Genomic DNA, 18147 nt, shown 5'->3' on the forward strand with positions numbered 1-18147 from the left:
CAGAAGCATTCTCAGAAACTTCTTGGTGATGTTTGCATTCAAATCCCAGAGTTGAACCTTCCTTTGATAGTTCAGGTTTGAAACACTCTTTCTGTAGGATCTGCAAGTGGCTATTTGGACCACTCTGTGGCCTTCGTTCGAAACGGGTATATCTTCGCATAAAATCTAGACAGAAGCATTCTCAGAAAATACTTTGTGATGATTGAGTTTAAATCACAGAGCTGACCATTCCTTTGGATGGAGCAGGTTTGAGACACACTTTTTGTAGAATCTACAAGTGGATATTTGGACCTCTCTGAGGATTTCGTTGGAAACGGGATAACTGCACCTAACTAAACGGAAGCATTCTCAGAAACTGCTTTGTGATGGTTGCATTCACCTCACAGAGTTGAACATTCCTATTGATAGAGCAGTTTGGAAACACTCTTGTTGTGGAATGTGCAAGTGGAGATTTGGAGCGCTTTGAGGCCTATGGTAGTAAAGGGAATAGCTTCATAGAAAAACTAGACAGATGCATTCTCAGGAACCTTTTGGTGATGTTTGTATTCAACTCCCAGAGTTGAACTTTCCTTTGGAAAGAGCAGCTATGAAACACTCTTTTTCTAGAATCTGCAAGTGGACGTTTGGAGGGCTTTGTGGTTTGTGGTGGAAAAGGAAATATCTTCACCTAAATACTAGATAGAAGCATTCTCAGAAGCTTCTCTGTGATGACTGCATTCAACTCACGGAGTTGAACACTCCTTTTGAGAGCGCAGTTTTGAAACTCTCTTTCTGTGGCATCTGCAAGGGGACATGTAGACCTCTTTGAAGATTTCGTTGGAAACGGAATCATCTTCACATAAAAACTATACAGAAGCAGTCTCAGAATCTTCTTTGTGATGTTTGCATTCAAATCCCAGAGTTGAACTTTCCTTTCAAAGTTCACGTTTGAAACACTCTTTTTGCAGGATCTACAAGTGGATATTTGGACCACTCTGTGTCCTTCGTTCGAAACGGGTATATCTTCACACGACATCTAGACAGAAGCTTTCTCAGAAAATTCTTTGGGATGATTGAGTGGAACTCACAGAGCTGAACATTCCTTGCGATGTAGCAGTTTAGAAACACACTTTCTGCAGAATCTGCAAGTGCATATTTGGACCTCTCTGAGGAATTCGTTGGAAACGGGATAATTTCAGCTGACTAAACAGAAGCATTCTCAGAACCTTCTTCGTGATGTCTGCATTCAACTCACAGTGTGGAACCTTTCTTTGATAGTTCAGGTTTGAAACACTCTTTTTGTAGAAACTGCAAGGGGATAATTGCACTTCTTTGAGGCCTACCGTAGTAAAGGAAATAACTTCCTATAGAAAGAAGACAGAAGCATTCTCAGAACCCTCTTCGTGATGTTTGCATTCAACTCACAGTGCTGAACCTTTCTTTGATAGTTCAGCTTTGAAACACTCTTCTTGTAGAAACTGCAAGTGGATATTTGGTCCTCTCTGAGGATTTCGTTGGAAACGGGATAAACCGCACAGAACTAAACAGAAGCATTCTCAGAACCTTCTTCGTGATGTTTGCATTCAACTCACAGTGTTGAACCTTTCTTTGATAGTTCAGGTTTGAAACGGTCTTTCTGTAGAAACTGCAAGTAGATATTTGGACCTCTCTGAGGATTTCGTTGGAAACGGGATAAACCGCACAGAACTAAAACAGAAGCATTCACAGAAAACTCTTGGTGACGACTGAGTTTAACTCACAGAGCTGAACATTCCTTTGGATGGAGCAGTTTCGAAACACACTATTTGTAGAATGTGCAAGTGGATATTTGGGCCTCTCTGAGGATTTCGTTGGAAACGGGATAAACCGCACAGAACTAAACAGAAGCATTCTCAGAAACTACTTTGTGATGATTGCATTCAAGTCACAGAGTTGAACATTCCCTTTGACAGAGCAGTTTGGAAACTCTCTTTGTGTAGAATCTGCAAGTGGAGATATGGACCGCTTTGAGGCCTATGGTAGTAAAGGAAATAGCTTCATATAAAAGCTAGACAGTAGCATTCTCAGAAACTTCTTTGTGATGCTTGCATTCAACTCACAGAGTTGAACTTTCCTTTCGAGAGAGAAGCTTTGAAACACTCTTTTTCCAGAATCTGCAAGTGGACATTTGGAGGGCTTTGAGGCCTGTGGTGGAAAAGGAATTATCTTCCCGTAAAAGCTAGATAGAAGCATTGTCAGAAACTTCTTTGTGATGATTGCATTCAACTCACAGAGTTGAAGGTTCCTTTTCAAAGAGCAGTTTCCAATCACTCTTTCTGTGGAATCTGCAAGTGGATATTTGGACCTATTTTGAAGATTTCGTTGGAAACGGGAGAATCTTCACAGGAAAGCTAAACAGAAGCATTCTCAGAAACTTCTCTGTGATGTTTGTGTTCAACTCCCAGAGTTTCACATTGCTTTTCATAGAGTAGTTCTGAAACATGCTTTTCGTAGTGTCTACAAGTGGACATTTGGAGCGCTTTCAGGCCTGTGGTGGAAAACGAATTATGGTCACATAAAAACTGGAGAGAAGCCTTCTCAGAAACTTCTCTGTGATGATTGCATTCAACTCACAGAGTTGAACCCTCCTATGGATAGAGCAGTGTTGAAACTCTCTTTTTGTGGAATCTGCAAGTGGATATGTGGACCTCTCCGAAGATGTCTTTGGAAACGGGAATATCTTCACATAAAAACTAAACAGAAGCATTCTCAGAAACTTCTTGGTGATGTTTGCATTCAAATCCCAGAGTTGAACCTTCCTTTGATAGTTCAGGTTTGAAACACTCTTTTTGTAGGATCTGCAAGTGGATATTTGGACCACTCTGTGGCCTTCGTTCGAAACGGGTATATCTTCGCATAAAATCTAGACAGAAGCATTCTCAGAAAATACTTTGTGATGATTGAGTTTAACTCACAGAGCTGAACATTCCTTTGGATGGAGCAGGTTTGAGACACACCTTTTGTAGAATCTACAAGTGGATATTTGGACCTCTCTGAGGATTTCGTTGGAAACGGGATAACTGCACCTAACTAAACGGAAGCATTCTCAGAAACTGCTTTGTGATGACTGCATTCACCTCACAGAGTTGAACATTCCTATTGATAGAGCAGTTTGGAAACACTCTTGTTGTGGAATGTGCAAGTGGAGATTTGGAGCGCTTTGAGGCCTATGGTAGTAAAGGGAATAGCTTCATAGAAAAACTAGACAGATGCATTCTCAGGAACTTTTTGGTGATGTTTGTATTCAACTCCCAGAGTTGAACTTTCCTTTGGAAAGAGCAGCTATGAAACACTGTTTTTCTAGAATCTGCAAGTGGACGTTTGGAGGGCTTTGTGGTTTGTGGTGGAAAAGGAAATATCTTCACCTAAATACTAGATAGAAGCATCCTCAGAAGCTTCTCTGTGATGACTGCATTCAACTCACGGAGTTGAACACTCCTTTTGAGAGCGCAGTTTTGAAACTCTCTTTCTGTGGCATCTGCAAGGGGACATGTAGACCTCTTTGAAGATTTCGTTGGAAACGGAATCATCTTCACATAAAAACTATACAGAAGCAGTCTCAGAATCTTCTTTGTGATGTTTGCATTCAAATCCCCGAGTTGAACTTTCCTTTCAAAGTTCACGTTTGAAACACTCTTTTTGCAGGATCTACAAGTGGATATTTGGACCACTCTGTGTCCTTCGTTCGAAACGGGTATATCTTCACATGACATCTAGACAGAAGCTTTCTCAGAAAATTCTTTGGGATGATTGAGTTGAACTCACAGAGCTGAGCATTCCTTGCGATGTAGCAGTTTAGAAACACACTTTCTGCAGAATCTGCAAGTGCATATTTGGACCTCTGTGAGGAATTCGTTGGAAACGGGATAATTTCAGCTGACTAAACAGAAGCATTCTCAGAACCTTCTTCGTGATGTCTGCATTCAACTCACAGTGTGGAAACCTTTCTTTGATAGTTCAGGTTTGAAACACTCTTTTTGTAGAAACTGCAAGGGGATAATTGCACTCTTTGAGGAGTACCGTAGTAAAGGAAATAACTTCCTCTAAAAAGAAGACAGAAGAATTCTCAGAGCCCTCTTCGTGATGTTTGCATTCAACTCACAGTGCTGAACCTTTCTTTGATAGTGCAGCTTTGAAACACTCTTTTTGTAGAAACTGCAAGTGGATGTTTGGTCCTCTCTGAGGATTTCGTTGGAAACGGGATAAACCGCACAGAACTAAAACAGAAGCATTGTCAGAAACTTCTTTGTGATGATTGCATTCAACTCACAGAGTTGAAGGTTCCTTTTCAAACAGCAGTTTCCAATCACTCTTTCTGTGGAATCTGCAAGTGGATATTTGGGCCTCTCTGAGGATTTCGTTGGAAACGGGATAAAACGCACAGAACTAAAACAGAAGCATTCTCAGAAACTTCTCTGTGATGTTTGTGTTCAACTCCCAGAGTTTCACGTTGCTTTTCATAGAGTAGTTCTGAAACATGCTTTTCGTAGTGTCTGCAAGTGGACATTTGGAGCGCTTTCAGGCCTGTGGTGGAAAACGAATTATGGTCACATAAAAACTGGAGAGAAGCCTTCTCAGAAACTTCTCTGTGATGATTGCATTCAACTCACAGAGTTGAACCCTCCTATGGATAGAGCAGTGTTGAAACTCTCTTTTTGTGGAATCTGCAAGTGGATATGTGGACCTCTCCGAAGATGTCTTTGGAAACGGGAATATCTTCACATAAAAACTAAACAGAAGCATTCTCAGAAACTTCTTGGTGATGTTTGCATTCAAATCCCAGAGTTGAACCTTCCTTTGATAGTTCAGGTTTGAAACACTCTTTCTGTAGGATCTGCAAGTGGCTATTTGGACCACTCTGTGGCCTTCGTTCGAAACGGGTATATCTTCGCATAAAATCTAGACAGAAGCATTCTCAGAAAATACTTTGTGATGATTGAGTTTAAATCACAGAGCTGACCATTCCTTTGGATGGAGCAGGTTTGAGACACACTTTTTGTAGAATCTACAAGTGGATATTTGGACCTCTCTGAGGATTTCGTTGGAAACGGGATAACTGCACCTAACTAAACGGAAGCATTCTCAGAAACTGCTTTGTGATGATTGCATTCACCTCACAGAGTTGAACATTCCTATTGATAGAGCAGTTTGGAAACACTCTTGTTGTGGAATGTGCAAGTGGAGATTTGGAGCGCTTTGAGGCCTGTGGTAGTAAAGGGAATAGCTTCATAGAAAAACTAGACAGATGCATTCTCAGGAACTTTTTGGTGATGTTTGTATTCAACTCCCAGAGTTGAACTTTCCTTTGGAAAGAGCAGCTATGAAACACTCTTTTTCTAGAATCTGCAAGTGGACGTTTGGAGGGCTTTGTGGTTTGTGGTGGAAAAGGAAATATCTTCACCTAAATACTAGATAGAAGCATTCTCAGAAGCTTCTCTGTGATGACTGCATTCAACTCACGGAGTTGAACACTCCTTTTGAGAGCGCAGTTTTGAAACTCTCTTTCTGTGGCATCTGCAAGGGGACATGTAGACCTCTTTGAAGATTTCGTTGGAAACGGAATCATCTTCACATAAAAACTATACAGAAGCAGTCTCAGAATCTTCTTTGTGATGTTTGCATTCAAATCCCAGAGTTGAACTTTCCTTTCAAAGTTCACGTTTGAAACACTCTTTTTGCAGGATCTACAAGTGGATATTTGGACCACTCTGTGTCCTTCGTTCGAAACGGGTATATCTTCACACGACATCTAGACAGAAGCTTTCTCAGAAAATTCTTTGGGATGATTGAGTGGAACTCACAGAGCTGAACATTCCTTGCGATGGAGCAGTTTAGAAACACACTTTCTGCAGAATCTGCAAGTGCATATTTGGACCTCTCTGAGGAATTCGTTGGAAACGGGATAATTTCAGCTGACTAAACAGAAGCATTCTCAGAACCTTCTTCGTGATGTCTGCATTCAACTCACAGTGTGGAACCTTTCTTTGATAGTTCAGGTTTGAAACACTCTTTTTGTAGAAACTGCAAGGGGATAATTGCACTTCTTTGAGGCCTACCGTAGTAAAGGAAATAACTTCCTATAGAAAGAAGACAGAAGCATTCTCAGAACCCTCTTCGTGATGTTTGCATTCAACTCACAGTGCTGAACCTTTCTTTGATAGTTCAGCTTTGAAACACTCTTCTTGTAGAAACTGCAAGTGGATATTTGGTCCTCTCTGAGGATTTCGTTGGAAACGGGATAAACCGCACAGAACTAAACAGAAGCATTCTCAGAGCCCTCTTCGTGATGTTTGCATTCAACTCACAGTGCTGAACCTTTCTTTGATAGTGCAGCTTTGAAACACTCTTTTTGTAGAAACTGCAAGTGGATGTTTGGTCCTCTCTGAGGATTTCGTTGGAAACGGGATAAACCGCACAGAACTAAAACAGAAGCATTGTCAGAAACTTCTTTGTGATGATTGCATTCAACTCACAGAGTTGAAGGTTCCTTTTCAAACAGCAGTTTCCAATCACTCTTTCTGTGGAATCTGCAAGTGGATATTTGGGCCTCTCTGAGGATTTCGTTGGAAACGGGATAAAACGCACAGAACTAAAACAGAAGCATTCTCAGAAACTTCTCTGTGATGTTTGTGTTCAACTCCCAGAGTTTCACGTTGCTTTTCATAGAGTAGTTCTGAAACATGCTTTTCGTAGTGTCTGCAAGTGGACATTTGGAGCGCTTTCAGGCCTGTGGTGGAAAACGAATTATGGTCACATAAAAACTGGAGAGAAGCCTTCTCAGAAACTTCTCTGTGATGATTGCATTCAACTCACAGAGTTGAACCCTCCTATGGATAGAGCAGTGTTGAAACTCTCTTTTTGTGGAATCTGCAAGTGGATATGTGGACCTCTCCGAAGATGTCTTTGGAAACGGGAATATCTTCACATAAAAACTAAACAGAAGCATTCTCAGAAACTTCTTGGTGATGTTTGCATTCAAATCCCAGAGTTGAACCTTCCTTTGATAGTTCAGGTTTGAAACACTCTTTCTGTAGGATCTGCAAGTGGCTATTTGGACCACTCTGTGGCCTTCGTTCGAAACGGGTATATCTTCGCATAAAATCTAGACAGAAGCATTCTCAGAAAATACTTTGTGATGATTGAGTTTAAATCACAGAGCTGACCATTCCTTTGGATGGAGCAGGTTTGAGACACACTTTTTGTAGAATCTACAAGTGGATATTTGGACCTCTCTGAGGATTTCGTTGGAAACGGGATAACTGCACCTAACTAAACGGAAGCATTCTCAGAAACTGCTTTGTGATGATTGCATTCACCTCACAGAGTTGAACATTCCTATTGATAGAGCAGTTTGGAAACACTCTTGTTGTGGAATGTGCAAGTGGAGATTTGGAGCGCTTTGAGGCCTATGGTAGTAAAGGGAATAGCTTCATAGAAAAACTAGACAGATGCATTCTCAGGAACTTTTTGGTGATGTTTGTATTCAACTCCCAGAGTTGAACTTTCCTTTGGAAAGAGCAGCTATGAAACACTCTTTTTCTAGAATCTGCAAGTGGACGTTTGGAGGGCTTTGTGGTTTGTGGTGGAAAAGGAAATATCTTCACCTAAATACTAGATAGAAGCATTCTCAGAAGCTTCTCTGTGATGACTGCATTCAACTCACGGAGTTGAACACTCCTTTTGAGAGCGCAGTTTTGAAACTCTCTTTCTGTGGCATCTGCAAGGGGACATGTAGACCTCTTTGAAGATTTCGTTGGAAACGGAATCATCTTCACATAAAAACTATACAGAAGCAGTCTCAGAATCTTCTTTGTGATGTTTGCATTCAAATCCCAGAGTTGAACTTTCCTTTCAAAGTTCACGTTTGAAACACTCTTTTTGCAGGATCTACAAGTGGATATTTGGACCACTCTGTGTCCTTCGTTCGAAACGGGTATATCTTCACACGACATCTAGACAGAAGCTTTCTCAGAAAATTCTTTGGGATGATTGAGTGGAACTCACAGAGCTGAACATTCCTTGCGATGTAGCAGTTTAGAAACACACTTTCTGCAGAATCTGCAAGTGCATATTTGGACCTCTCTGAGGAATTCGTTGGAAACGGGATAATTTCAGCTGACTAAACAGAAGCATTCTCAGAACCTTCTTCGTGATGTCTGCATTCAACTCACAGTGTGGAACCTTTCTTTGATAGTTCAGGTTTGAAACACTCTTTTTGTAGAAACTGCAAGGGGATAATTGCACTTCTTTGAGGCCTACCGTAGTAAAGGAAATAACTTCCTATAGAAAGAAGACAGAAGCATTCTCAGAACCCTCTTCGTGATGTTTGCATTCAACTCACAGTGCTGAACCTTTCTTTGATAGTTCAGCTTTGAAACACTCTTCTTGTAGAAACTGCAAGTGGATATTTGGTCCTCTCTGAGCATTTCGTTGGAAACGGGATAAACCGCACAGAACTAAACAGAAGAATTCTCAGAGCCCTCTTCGTGATGTTTGCATTCAACTCACAGTGCTGAACCTTTCTTTGATAGTGCAGCTTTGAAACACTCTTTTTGTAGAAACTGCAAGTGGATGTTTGGTCCTCTCTGAGGATTTCGTTGGAAACGGGATAAACCGCACAGAACTAAAACAGAAGCATTGTCAGAAACTTCTTTGTGATGATTGCATTCAACTCACAGAGTTGAAGGTTCCTTTTCAAACAGCAGTTTCCAATCACTCTTTCTGTGGAATCTGCAAGTGGATATTTGGGCCTCTCTGAGGATTTCGTTGGAAACGGGATAAAACGCACAGAACTAAAACAGAAGCATTCTCAGAAACTTCTCTGTGATGTTTGTGTTCAACTCCCAGAGTTTCACGTTGCTTTTCATAGAGTAGTTCTGAAACATGCTTTTCGTAGTGTCTGCAAGTGGACATTTGGAGCGCTTTCAGGCCTGTGGTGGAAAACGAATTATGGTCACATAAAAACTGGAGAGAAGCCTTCTCAGAAACTTCTCTGTGATGATTGCATTCAACTCACAGAGTTGAACCCTCCTATGGATAGAGCAGTGTTGAAACTCTCTTTTTGTGGAATCTGCAAGTGGATATGTGGACCTCTCCGAAGATGTCTTTGGAAACGGGAATATCTTCACATAAAAACTAAACAGAAGCATTCTCAGAAACTTCTTGGTGATGTTTGCATTCAAATCCCAGAGTTGAACCTTCCTTTGATAGTTCAGGTTTGAAACACTCTTTCTGTAGGATCTGCAAGTGGCTATTTGGACCACTCTGTGGCCTTCGTTCGAAACGGGTATATCTTCGCATAAAATCTAGACAGAAGCATTCTCAGAAAATACTTTGTGATGATTGAGTTTAAATCACAGAGCTGACCATTCCTTTGGATGGAGCAGGTTTGAGACACACTTTTTGTAGAATCTACAAGTGGATATTTGGACCTCTCTGAGGATTTCGTTGGAAACGGGATAACTGCACCTAACTAAACGGAAGCATTCTCAGAAACTGCTTTGTGATGATTGCATTCACCTCACAGAGTTGAACATTCCTATTGATAGAGCAGTTTGGAAACACTCTTGTTGTGGAATGTGCAAGTGGAGATTTGGAGCGCTTTGAGGCCTGTGGTAGTAAAGGGAATAGCTTCATAGAAAAACTAGACAGATGCATTCTCAGGAACTTTTTGGTGATGTTTGTATTCAACTCCCAGAGTTGAACTTTCCTTTGGAAAGAGCAGCTATGAAACACTCTTTTTCTAGAATCTGCAAGTGGACGTTTGGAGGGCTTTGTGGTTTGTGGTGGAAAAGGAAATATCTTCACCTAAATACTAGATAGAAGCATTCTCAGAAGCTTCTCTGTGATGACTGCATTCAACTCACGGAGTTGAACACTCCTTTTGAGAGCGCAGTTTTGAAACTCTCTTTCTGTGGCATCTGCAAGGGGACATGTAGACCTCTTTGAAGATTTCGTTGGAAACGGAATCATCTTCACATAAAAACTATACAGAAGCAGTCTCAGAATCTTCTTTGTGATGTTTGCATTCAAATCCCAGAGTTGAACTTTCCTTTCAAAGTTCACGTTTGAAACACTCTTTTTGCAGGATCTACAAGTGGATATTTGGACCACTCTGTGTCCTTCGTTCGAAACGGGTATATCTTCACACGACATCTAGACAGAAGCTTTCTCAGAAAATTCTTTGGGATGATTGAGTGGAACTCACAGAGCTGAACATTCCTTGCGATGTAGCAGTTTAGAAACACACTTTCTGCAGAATCTGCAAGTGCATATTTGGACCTCTCTGAGGAATTCGTTGGAAACGGGATAATTTCAGCTGACTAAACAGAAGCATTCTCAGAACCTTCTTCGTGATGTCTGCATTCAACTCACAGTGTGGAACCTTTCTTTGATAGTTCAGGTTTGAAACACTCTTTTTGTAGAAACTGCAAGGGGATAATTGCACTTCTTTGAGGCCTACCGTAGTAAAGGAAATAACTTCCTATAGAAAGAAGACAGAAGCATTCTCAGAACCCTCTTCGTGATGTTTGCATTCAACTCACAGTGCTGAACCTTTCTTTGATAGTTCAGCTTTGAAACACTCTTCTTGTAGAAACTGCAAGTGGATATTTGGTCCTCTCTGAGGATTTCGTTGGAAACGGGATAAACCGCACAGAACTAAACAGAAGAATTCTCAGAGCCCTCTTCGTGATGTTTGCATTCAACTCACAGTGCTGAACCTTTCTTTGATAGTGCAGCTTTGAAACACTCTTTTTGTAGAAACTGCAAGTGGATGTTTGGTCCTCTCTGAGGATTTCGTTGGAAACGGGATAAACCGCACAGAACTAAAACAGAAGCATTGTCAGAAACTTCTTTGTGATGATTGCATTCAACTCACAGAGTTGAAGGTTCCTTTTCAAACAGCAGTTTCCAATCACTCTTTCTGTGGAATCTGCAAGTGGATATTTGGGCCTCTCTGAGGATTTCGTTGGAAACGGGATAAAACGCACAGAACTAAAACAGAAGCATTCTCAGAAACTTCTCTGTGATGTTTGTGTTCAACTCCCAGAGTTTCACGTTGCTTTTCATAGAGTAGTTCTGAAACATGCTTTTCGTAGTGTCTGCAAGTGGACATTTGGAGCGCTTTCAGGCCTGTGGTGGAAAACGAATTATGGTCACATAAAAACTGGAGAGAAGCCTTCTCAGAAACTTCTCTGTGATGATTGCATTCAACTCACAGAGTTGAACCCTCCTATGGATAGAGCAGTGTTGAAACTCTCTTTTTGTGGAATCTGCAAGTGGATATGTGGACCTCTCCGAAGATGTCTTTGGAAACGGGAATATCTTCACATAAAAACTAAACAGAAGCATTCTCAGAAACTTCTTGGTGATGTTTGCATTCAAATCCCAGAGTTGAACCTTCCTTTGATAGTTCAGGTTTGAAACACTCTTTTTGTAGGATCTGCAAGTGGCTATTTGGACCACTCTGTGGCCTTCGTTCGAAACTGGTATATCTTCGCATAAAATCTAGACAGAAGCATTCTCAGAAAATACTTTGTGATGATTGAGTTTAAATCTCAGAGCTGAACATTCCTTTGGATGGAGCAGGTTTGAGACACACTTTTTGTAGAATCTACAAGTGGATATTTGGACCTCTCTGAGGATTTCGTTGGAAACGGGATAACTGCACCTAACTAAACGGAAGCATTCTCAGAAACTGCTTTGTGATGATTGCATTCACCTCACAGAGTTGAACATTCCTATTGATAGAGCAGTTTGGAAACACTCTTGTTGTGGAATGTGCAAGTGGAGATTTGGAGCGCTTTGAGGCCTATGGTAGTAAAGGGAATAGCTTCATAGAAAAACTAGACAGATGCATTCTCAGGAACTTTTTGGTGATGTTTGTATTCAACTCCCAGCAGTTGAACTTTCCTTTGGAAAGAGCAGCTATGAAACACTCTTTTTCTAGAATCTGGAAGTGGACGTTTGGAGGGCTTTGTGGTTTGTGGTGGAAAAGGAAATATCTTCACCTAAATACTAGATAGAAGCATTCTCAGAAGCTTCTCTGTGATGACTGCATTCAACTCACGGAGTTGAACACTCCTTTTGAGAGCGCAGTTTTGAAACTCTCTTTCTGTGGCATCTGCAAGGGGACATGTAGACCTCTTTGAAGATTTCGTTGGAAACGGAATCATCTTCACATAAAAACTATACAGAAGCAGTCTCAGAATCTTCTTTGTGATGTTTGCATTCAAATCCCAGAGTTGAACTTTCCTTTCAAAGTTCACGTTTGAAACACTCTTTTTGCAGGATCTACAAGTGGATATTTGGACCACTCTGTGTCCTTCGTTCGAAACGGGTATATCTTCACACGACATCTAGACAGAAGCTTTCTCAGAAAATTCTTTGGGATGATTGAGTGGAACTCACAGAGCTGAACATTCCTTGCGATGTAGCAGTTTAGAAACACACTTTCTGCAGAATCTGCAAGTGCATATTTGGACCTCTCTGAGGAATTCGTTGGAAACGGGATAATTTCAGCTGACTAAACAGAAGCATTCTCAGAACCTTCTTCGTGATGTCTGCATTCAACTCACAGTGTGGAACCTTTCTTTGATAGTTCAGGTTTGAAACACTCTTTTTGTAGAAACTGCAAGGGGATAATTGCACTTCTTTGAGGCCTACCGTAGTAAAGGAAATAACTTCCTATAGAAAGAAGACAGAAGCATTCTCAGAACCCTCTTCGTGATGTTTGCATTCAACTCACAGTGCTGAACCTTTCTTTGATAGTTCAGCTTTGAAACACTCTTCTTGTAGAAACTGCAAGTGGATATTTGGTCCTCTCTGAGGATTTCTTTGGAAACGGGATAAACCGCACAGAACTAAACAGAAGAATTCTCAGAGCCCTCTTCGTGATGTTTGCATTCAACTCACAGTGCTGAATCTTTCTTTGATAGTGCAGCTTTGAAACACTCTTTTTGTAGAAACTGCAAGTGGATGTTTGGTCCTCTCTGAGGATTTCGTTGGAAACGGGATAAACCGCACAGAACTAAAACAGAAGCATTGTCAGAAACTTCTTTGTGATGATTGCATTCAACTCACAGAGTTGAAGGTTCCTTTTCAAACAGCAGTTTCCAATCACTCTTTCTGTGGAATCTGCAAGTGGATATTTGGGCCTCTCTGAGGATTTCGTTGGAAACGGGATAAAACGCACAGAACTAAAACAGAAGCATTCTCAGAAACTTCTCTGTGATGTTTGTGTTCAACTCCCAGAGTTTCACGTTGCTTTTCATAGAGTAGTTCTGAAACATGCTTTTCGTAGTGTCTGCAAGTGGACATTTGGAGCGCTTTCAGGCCTGTGGTGGAAAACGAATTATGGTCACATAAAAACTGGAGAGAAGCCTTCTCAGAAACTTCTCTGTGATGATTGCATTCAACTCACAGAGTTGAACCCTCCTATGGATAGAGCAGTGTTGAAACTCTCTTTTTGTGGAATCTGCAAGTGGATATGTGGACCTCTCCGAAGATGTCTTTGGAAACGGGAATATCTTCACATAAAAACTAAACAGAAGCATTCTCAGAAACTTCTTGGTGATGTTTGCATTCAAATCCCAGAGTTGAACCTTCCTTTGATAGTTCAGGTTTGAAACACTCTTTCTGTAGGATCTGCAAGTGGCTATTTGGACCACTCTGTGGCCTTCGTTCGAAACGGGTATATCTTCGCATAAAATCTAGACAGAAGCATTCTCAGAAAATACTTTGTGATGATTGAGTTTAAATCACAGAGCTGACCATTCCTTTGGATGGAGCAGGTTTGAGACACACTTTTTGTAGAATCTACAAGTGGATATTTGGACCTCTCTGAGGATTTCGTTGGAAACGGGATAACTGCACCTAACTAAACGGAAGCATTCTCAGAAACTGCTTTGTGATGATTGCATTCACCTCACAGAGTTGAACATTCCTATTGATAGAGCAGTTTGGAAACACTCTTGTTGTGGAATGTGCAAGTGGAGATTTGGAGCGCTTTGAGGCCTGTGGTAGTAAAGGGAATAGCTTCATAGAAAAACTAGACAGATGCATTCTCAGGAACTTTTTGGTGATGTTTGTATTCAACTCCCAGAGTTGAACTTTCCTTTGGAAAGAGCAGCTATGAAACACTCTTTTTCTAGAATCTGCAAGTGGACGTTTGGAGGGCTTTGTGGTTTGTGGTGGAAAAGGAAATATCTTCACCTAAATACTAGATAGAAGCATTCTCAGAAGCTTCTCTGTGATGACTGCATTCAACTCACGGAGTTGAACACTCCTTTTGAGAGCGCAGTTTTGAAACTCTCTTTCTGTGGCATCTGCAAGGGGACATGTAGACCTCTTTGAAGATTTCGTTGGAAACGGAATCATCTTCACATAAAAACTATACAGAAGCAGTCTCAGAATCTTCTTTGTGATGTTTGCATTCAAATCCCAGGAGTTGAACTTTCCTTTCAAAGTTCACGTTTGAAACACTCTTTTTGCAGGATCTACAAGTGGATATTTGGACCACTCTGTGTCCTTCGTTCGAAACGGGTATAACTTCACACGACATCTAGACAGAAGCTTTCTCAGAAAATTCTTTGGGATGATTGAGTGGAACTCACAGAGCTGAACATTCCTTGCGATGTAGCAGTTTAGAAACACACTTTCTGCAGAATCTGCAAGTGCATATTTGGACCTCTCTGAGGAATTCGTTGGAAACGGGATAATTTCAGCTGACTAAACAGAAGCATTCTCAGAACCTTCTTCGTGATGTCTGCATTCAACTCACAGTGTGGAACCTTTCTTTGATAGTTCAGGTTTGAAACACTCTTTTTGTAGAAACTGCAAGGGGATAATTGCACTTCTTTGAGGCCTACCGTAGTAAAGGAAATAACTTCCTATAGAAAGAAGACAGAAGCATTCTCAGAATCCTCTTCGTGATGTTTGCATTCAACTCACAGTGCTGAACCTTTCTTTGATAGTTCAGCTTTGAAACACTCTTCTTGTAGAAACTGCAAGTGGATATTTGGTCCTCTCTGAGGATTTCGTTGGAAACGGGATAAACCGCACAGAACTAAACAGAAGAATTCTCAGAGCCCTCTTCGTGATGTTTGCATTCAACTCACAGTGCTGAACTTTTCTTTGATAGTGCAGCTTTGAAACACTCTTTTTGTAGAAACTGCAAGTGGATGTTTGGTCCTCTCTGAGGATTTCGTTGGAAACGGGATAAACCGCACAGAACTAAAACAGAAGCATTGTCAGAAACTTCTTTGTGATGATTGCATTCAACTCACAGAGTTGAAGGTTCCTTTTCAAACAGCAGTTTCCAATCACTCTTTCTGTGGAATCTGCAAGTGGATATTTGGGCCTCTCTGAGGATTTCGTTGGAAACGGGATAAAACGCACAGAACTAAAACAGAAGCATTCTCAGAAACTTCTCTGTGATGTTTGTGTTCAACTCCCAGAGTTTCACGTTGCTTTTCATAGAGTAGTTCTGAAACATGCTTTTCGTAGTGTCTGCAAGTGGACATTTGGAGCGCTTTCAGGCCTGTGGTGGAAAACGAATTATGGTCACATAAAAACTGGAGAGAAGCCTTCTCAGAAACTTCTCTGTGATGATTGCATTCAACTCACAGAGTTGAACCCTCCTATGGATAGAGCAGTGTTGAAACTCTCTTTTTGTGGAATCTGCAAGTGGATATGTGGACCTCTCCGAAGATGTCTTTGGAAACGGGAATATCTTCACATAAAAACTAAACAGAAGCATTCTCAGAAACTTCTTGGTGATGTTTGCATTCAAATCCCAGAGTTGAACCTTCCTTTGATAGTTCAGGTTTGAAACACTCTTTTTGTAGGATCTGCAATTGGCTATTTGGACCACTCTGTGGCCTTCGTTCGAAACGGGTATATCTTCGCATAAAATCTAGACAGAAGCATTCTCAGAAAATACTTTGTGATGATTGAGTTAAAATCACAGAGCTGAACATTCCTTTGGATGGAGCAGGTTTGAGACACACTTTTTGTAGAATCTACAAGTGGATATTTGGACCTCTCTGAGGATTTCGTTGGAAACGGGATAACTGCACCTAACTAAACGGAAGCATTCTCAGAAACTGCTTTGTGATGATTGCATTCACCTCACAGAGTTGAACATTCCTATTGATAGAGCAGTTTGGAAACACTCTTGTTGTGGAATGTGCAAGTGGAGATTTGGAGCGCTTTGAGGTCTATGGTAGTAAAGGGAATAGCTTCATAGAAAAACTAGACAGATGCATTCTCAGGAACTTTTTGGTGATGTTTGTATTCAACTCCCAGAGTTGAACTTTCCTTTGGAAAGAGCAGCTATGAAACACTCTTTTTCTAGAATCTGCAAGTGGACGTTTGGAGGGCTTTGTGGTTTGTGGTGGAAAAGGAAATATCTTCACCTAAATACTAGATAGAAGCATTCTCAGAAGCTTCTCTGTGATGACTGCATTCAACTCACGGAGTTGAACACTCCTTTTGAGAGCGCAGTTTTGAAACTCTCTTTCTGTGGCATCTGCAAGGGGACATGTAGACCTCTTTGAAGATTTCGTTGGAAACGGAATCATCTTCACATAAAAACTATACAGAAGCAGTCTCAGAATCTTCTTTGTGATGTTTGCATTCAAATCCCAGAGTTGAACTTTCCTTTCAAAGTTCACGTTTGAAACACTCTTTTTGCAGGATCTACAAGTGGATATTTGGACCACTCTGTGTCCTTCGTTCGAAACGGGTATATCTTCACACGACATCTAGACAGAAGCTTTCTCAGAAAATTCTTTGGGATGATTGAGTGGAACTCACAGAGCTGAACATTCCTTGCGATGTAGCAGTTTAGAAACACACTTTCTGCAGAATCTGCAAGTGCATATTTGGACCTCTCTGAGGAATTCGTTGGAAACGGGATAATTTCAGCTGACTAAACAGAAGCATTCTCAGAACCTTCTTCGTGATGTCTGCATTCAACTCACAGTGTGGAACCTTTCTTTGATAGTTCAGGTTTGAAACACTCTTTTTGTAGAAACTGCAAGGGGATAATTGCACTTCTTTGAGGCCTACCGTAGTAAAGGAAATAACTTCCTATAGAAAGAAGACAGAAGCATTCTCAGAACCCTCTTCGTGATGTTTGCATTCAACTCACAGTGCTGAACCTTTCTTTGATAGTTCAGCTTTGAAACACTCTTCTTGTAGAAACTGCAAGTGGATATTTGGTCCTCTCTGAGGATTTCGTTGGAAACGGGATAAACCGCACAGAACTAAACAGAAGAATTCTCAGAGCCCTCTTCGTGATGTTTGCATTCAACTCACAGTGCTGAACCTTTCTTTGATAGTGCAGCTTTGAAACACTCTTTTTGTAGAAACTGCAAGTGGATGTTTGGTCCTCTCTGAGGATTTCGTTGGAAACGGGATAAACCGCACAGAACTAAAACAGAAGCATTGTCAGAAACTTCTTTGTGATGATTGCATTCAACTCACAGAGTTGAAGGTTCCTTTTCAAACAGCAGTTTCCAATCACTCTTTCTGTGGAATCTGCAAGTGGATATTTGGGCCTCTCTGAGGATTTCGTTGGAAACGGGATAAAACGCACAGAACTAAAACAGAAGCATTCTCAGAAACTTCTCTGTGATGTTTGTGTTCAACTCCCAGAGTTTCACGTTGCTTTTCATAGAGTAGTTCTGAAACATGCTTTTCGTAGTGTCTGCAAGTGGACATTTGGAGCGCTTTCAGGCCTGTGGTGGAAAACGAATTATGGTCACATAAAAACTGGAGAGAAGCCTTCTCAGAAACTTCTCTGTGATGATTGCATTCAACTCACAGAGTTGAACCCTCCTATGGATAGAGCAGTGTTGAAACTCTCTTTTTGTGGAATCTGCAAGTGGATATGTGGACCTCTCCGAAGATGTCTTTGGAAACGGGAATATCTTCACATAAAAACTAAACAGAAGCATTCTCAGAAACTTCTTGGTGATGTTTGCATTCAAATCCCAGAGTTGAACCTTCCTTTGATAGTTCAGGTTTGAAACACTCTTTCTGTAGGATCTGCAAGTGGCTATTTGGACCACTCTGTGGCCTTCGTTCGAAACGGGTATATCTTCGCATAAAATCTAGACAGAA

The 18147-nt window shown here is 41.0% G+C and overlaps 1 annotated feature.

The window, feature by feature from the left end:
• Positions 1-18147: part of a centromere (Linear centromere model derived predominantly from reads generated in PMID: 17803354. This region does not represent an actual centromere sequence, as long-range ordering of repeats and unmapped WGS contigs is not provided by the model. For details of model production, see http://arxiv.org/abs/1307.0035.) that runs on past both edges of the window.

The sequence above is a fragment of the Homo sapiens genome, chromosome 17, assembly GCF_000001405.40.
Source record: "Homo sapiens chromosome 17, GRCh38.p14 Primary Assembly".
NCBI lineage: Eukaryota > Metazoa > Chordata > Mammalia > Primates > Hominidae > Homo > Homo sapiens.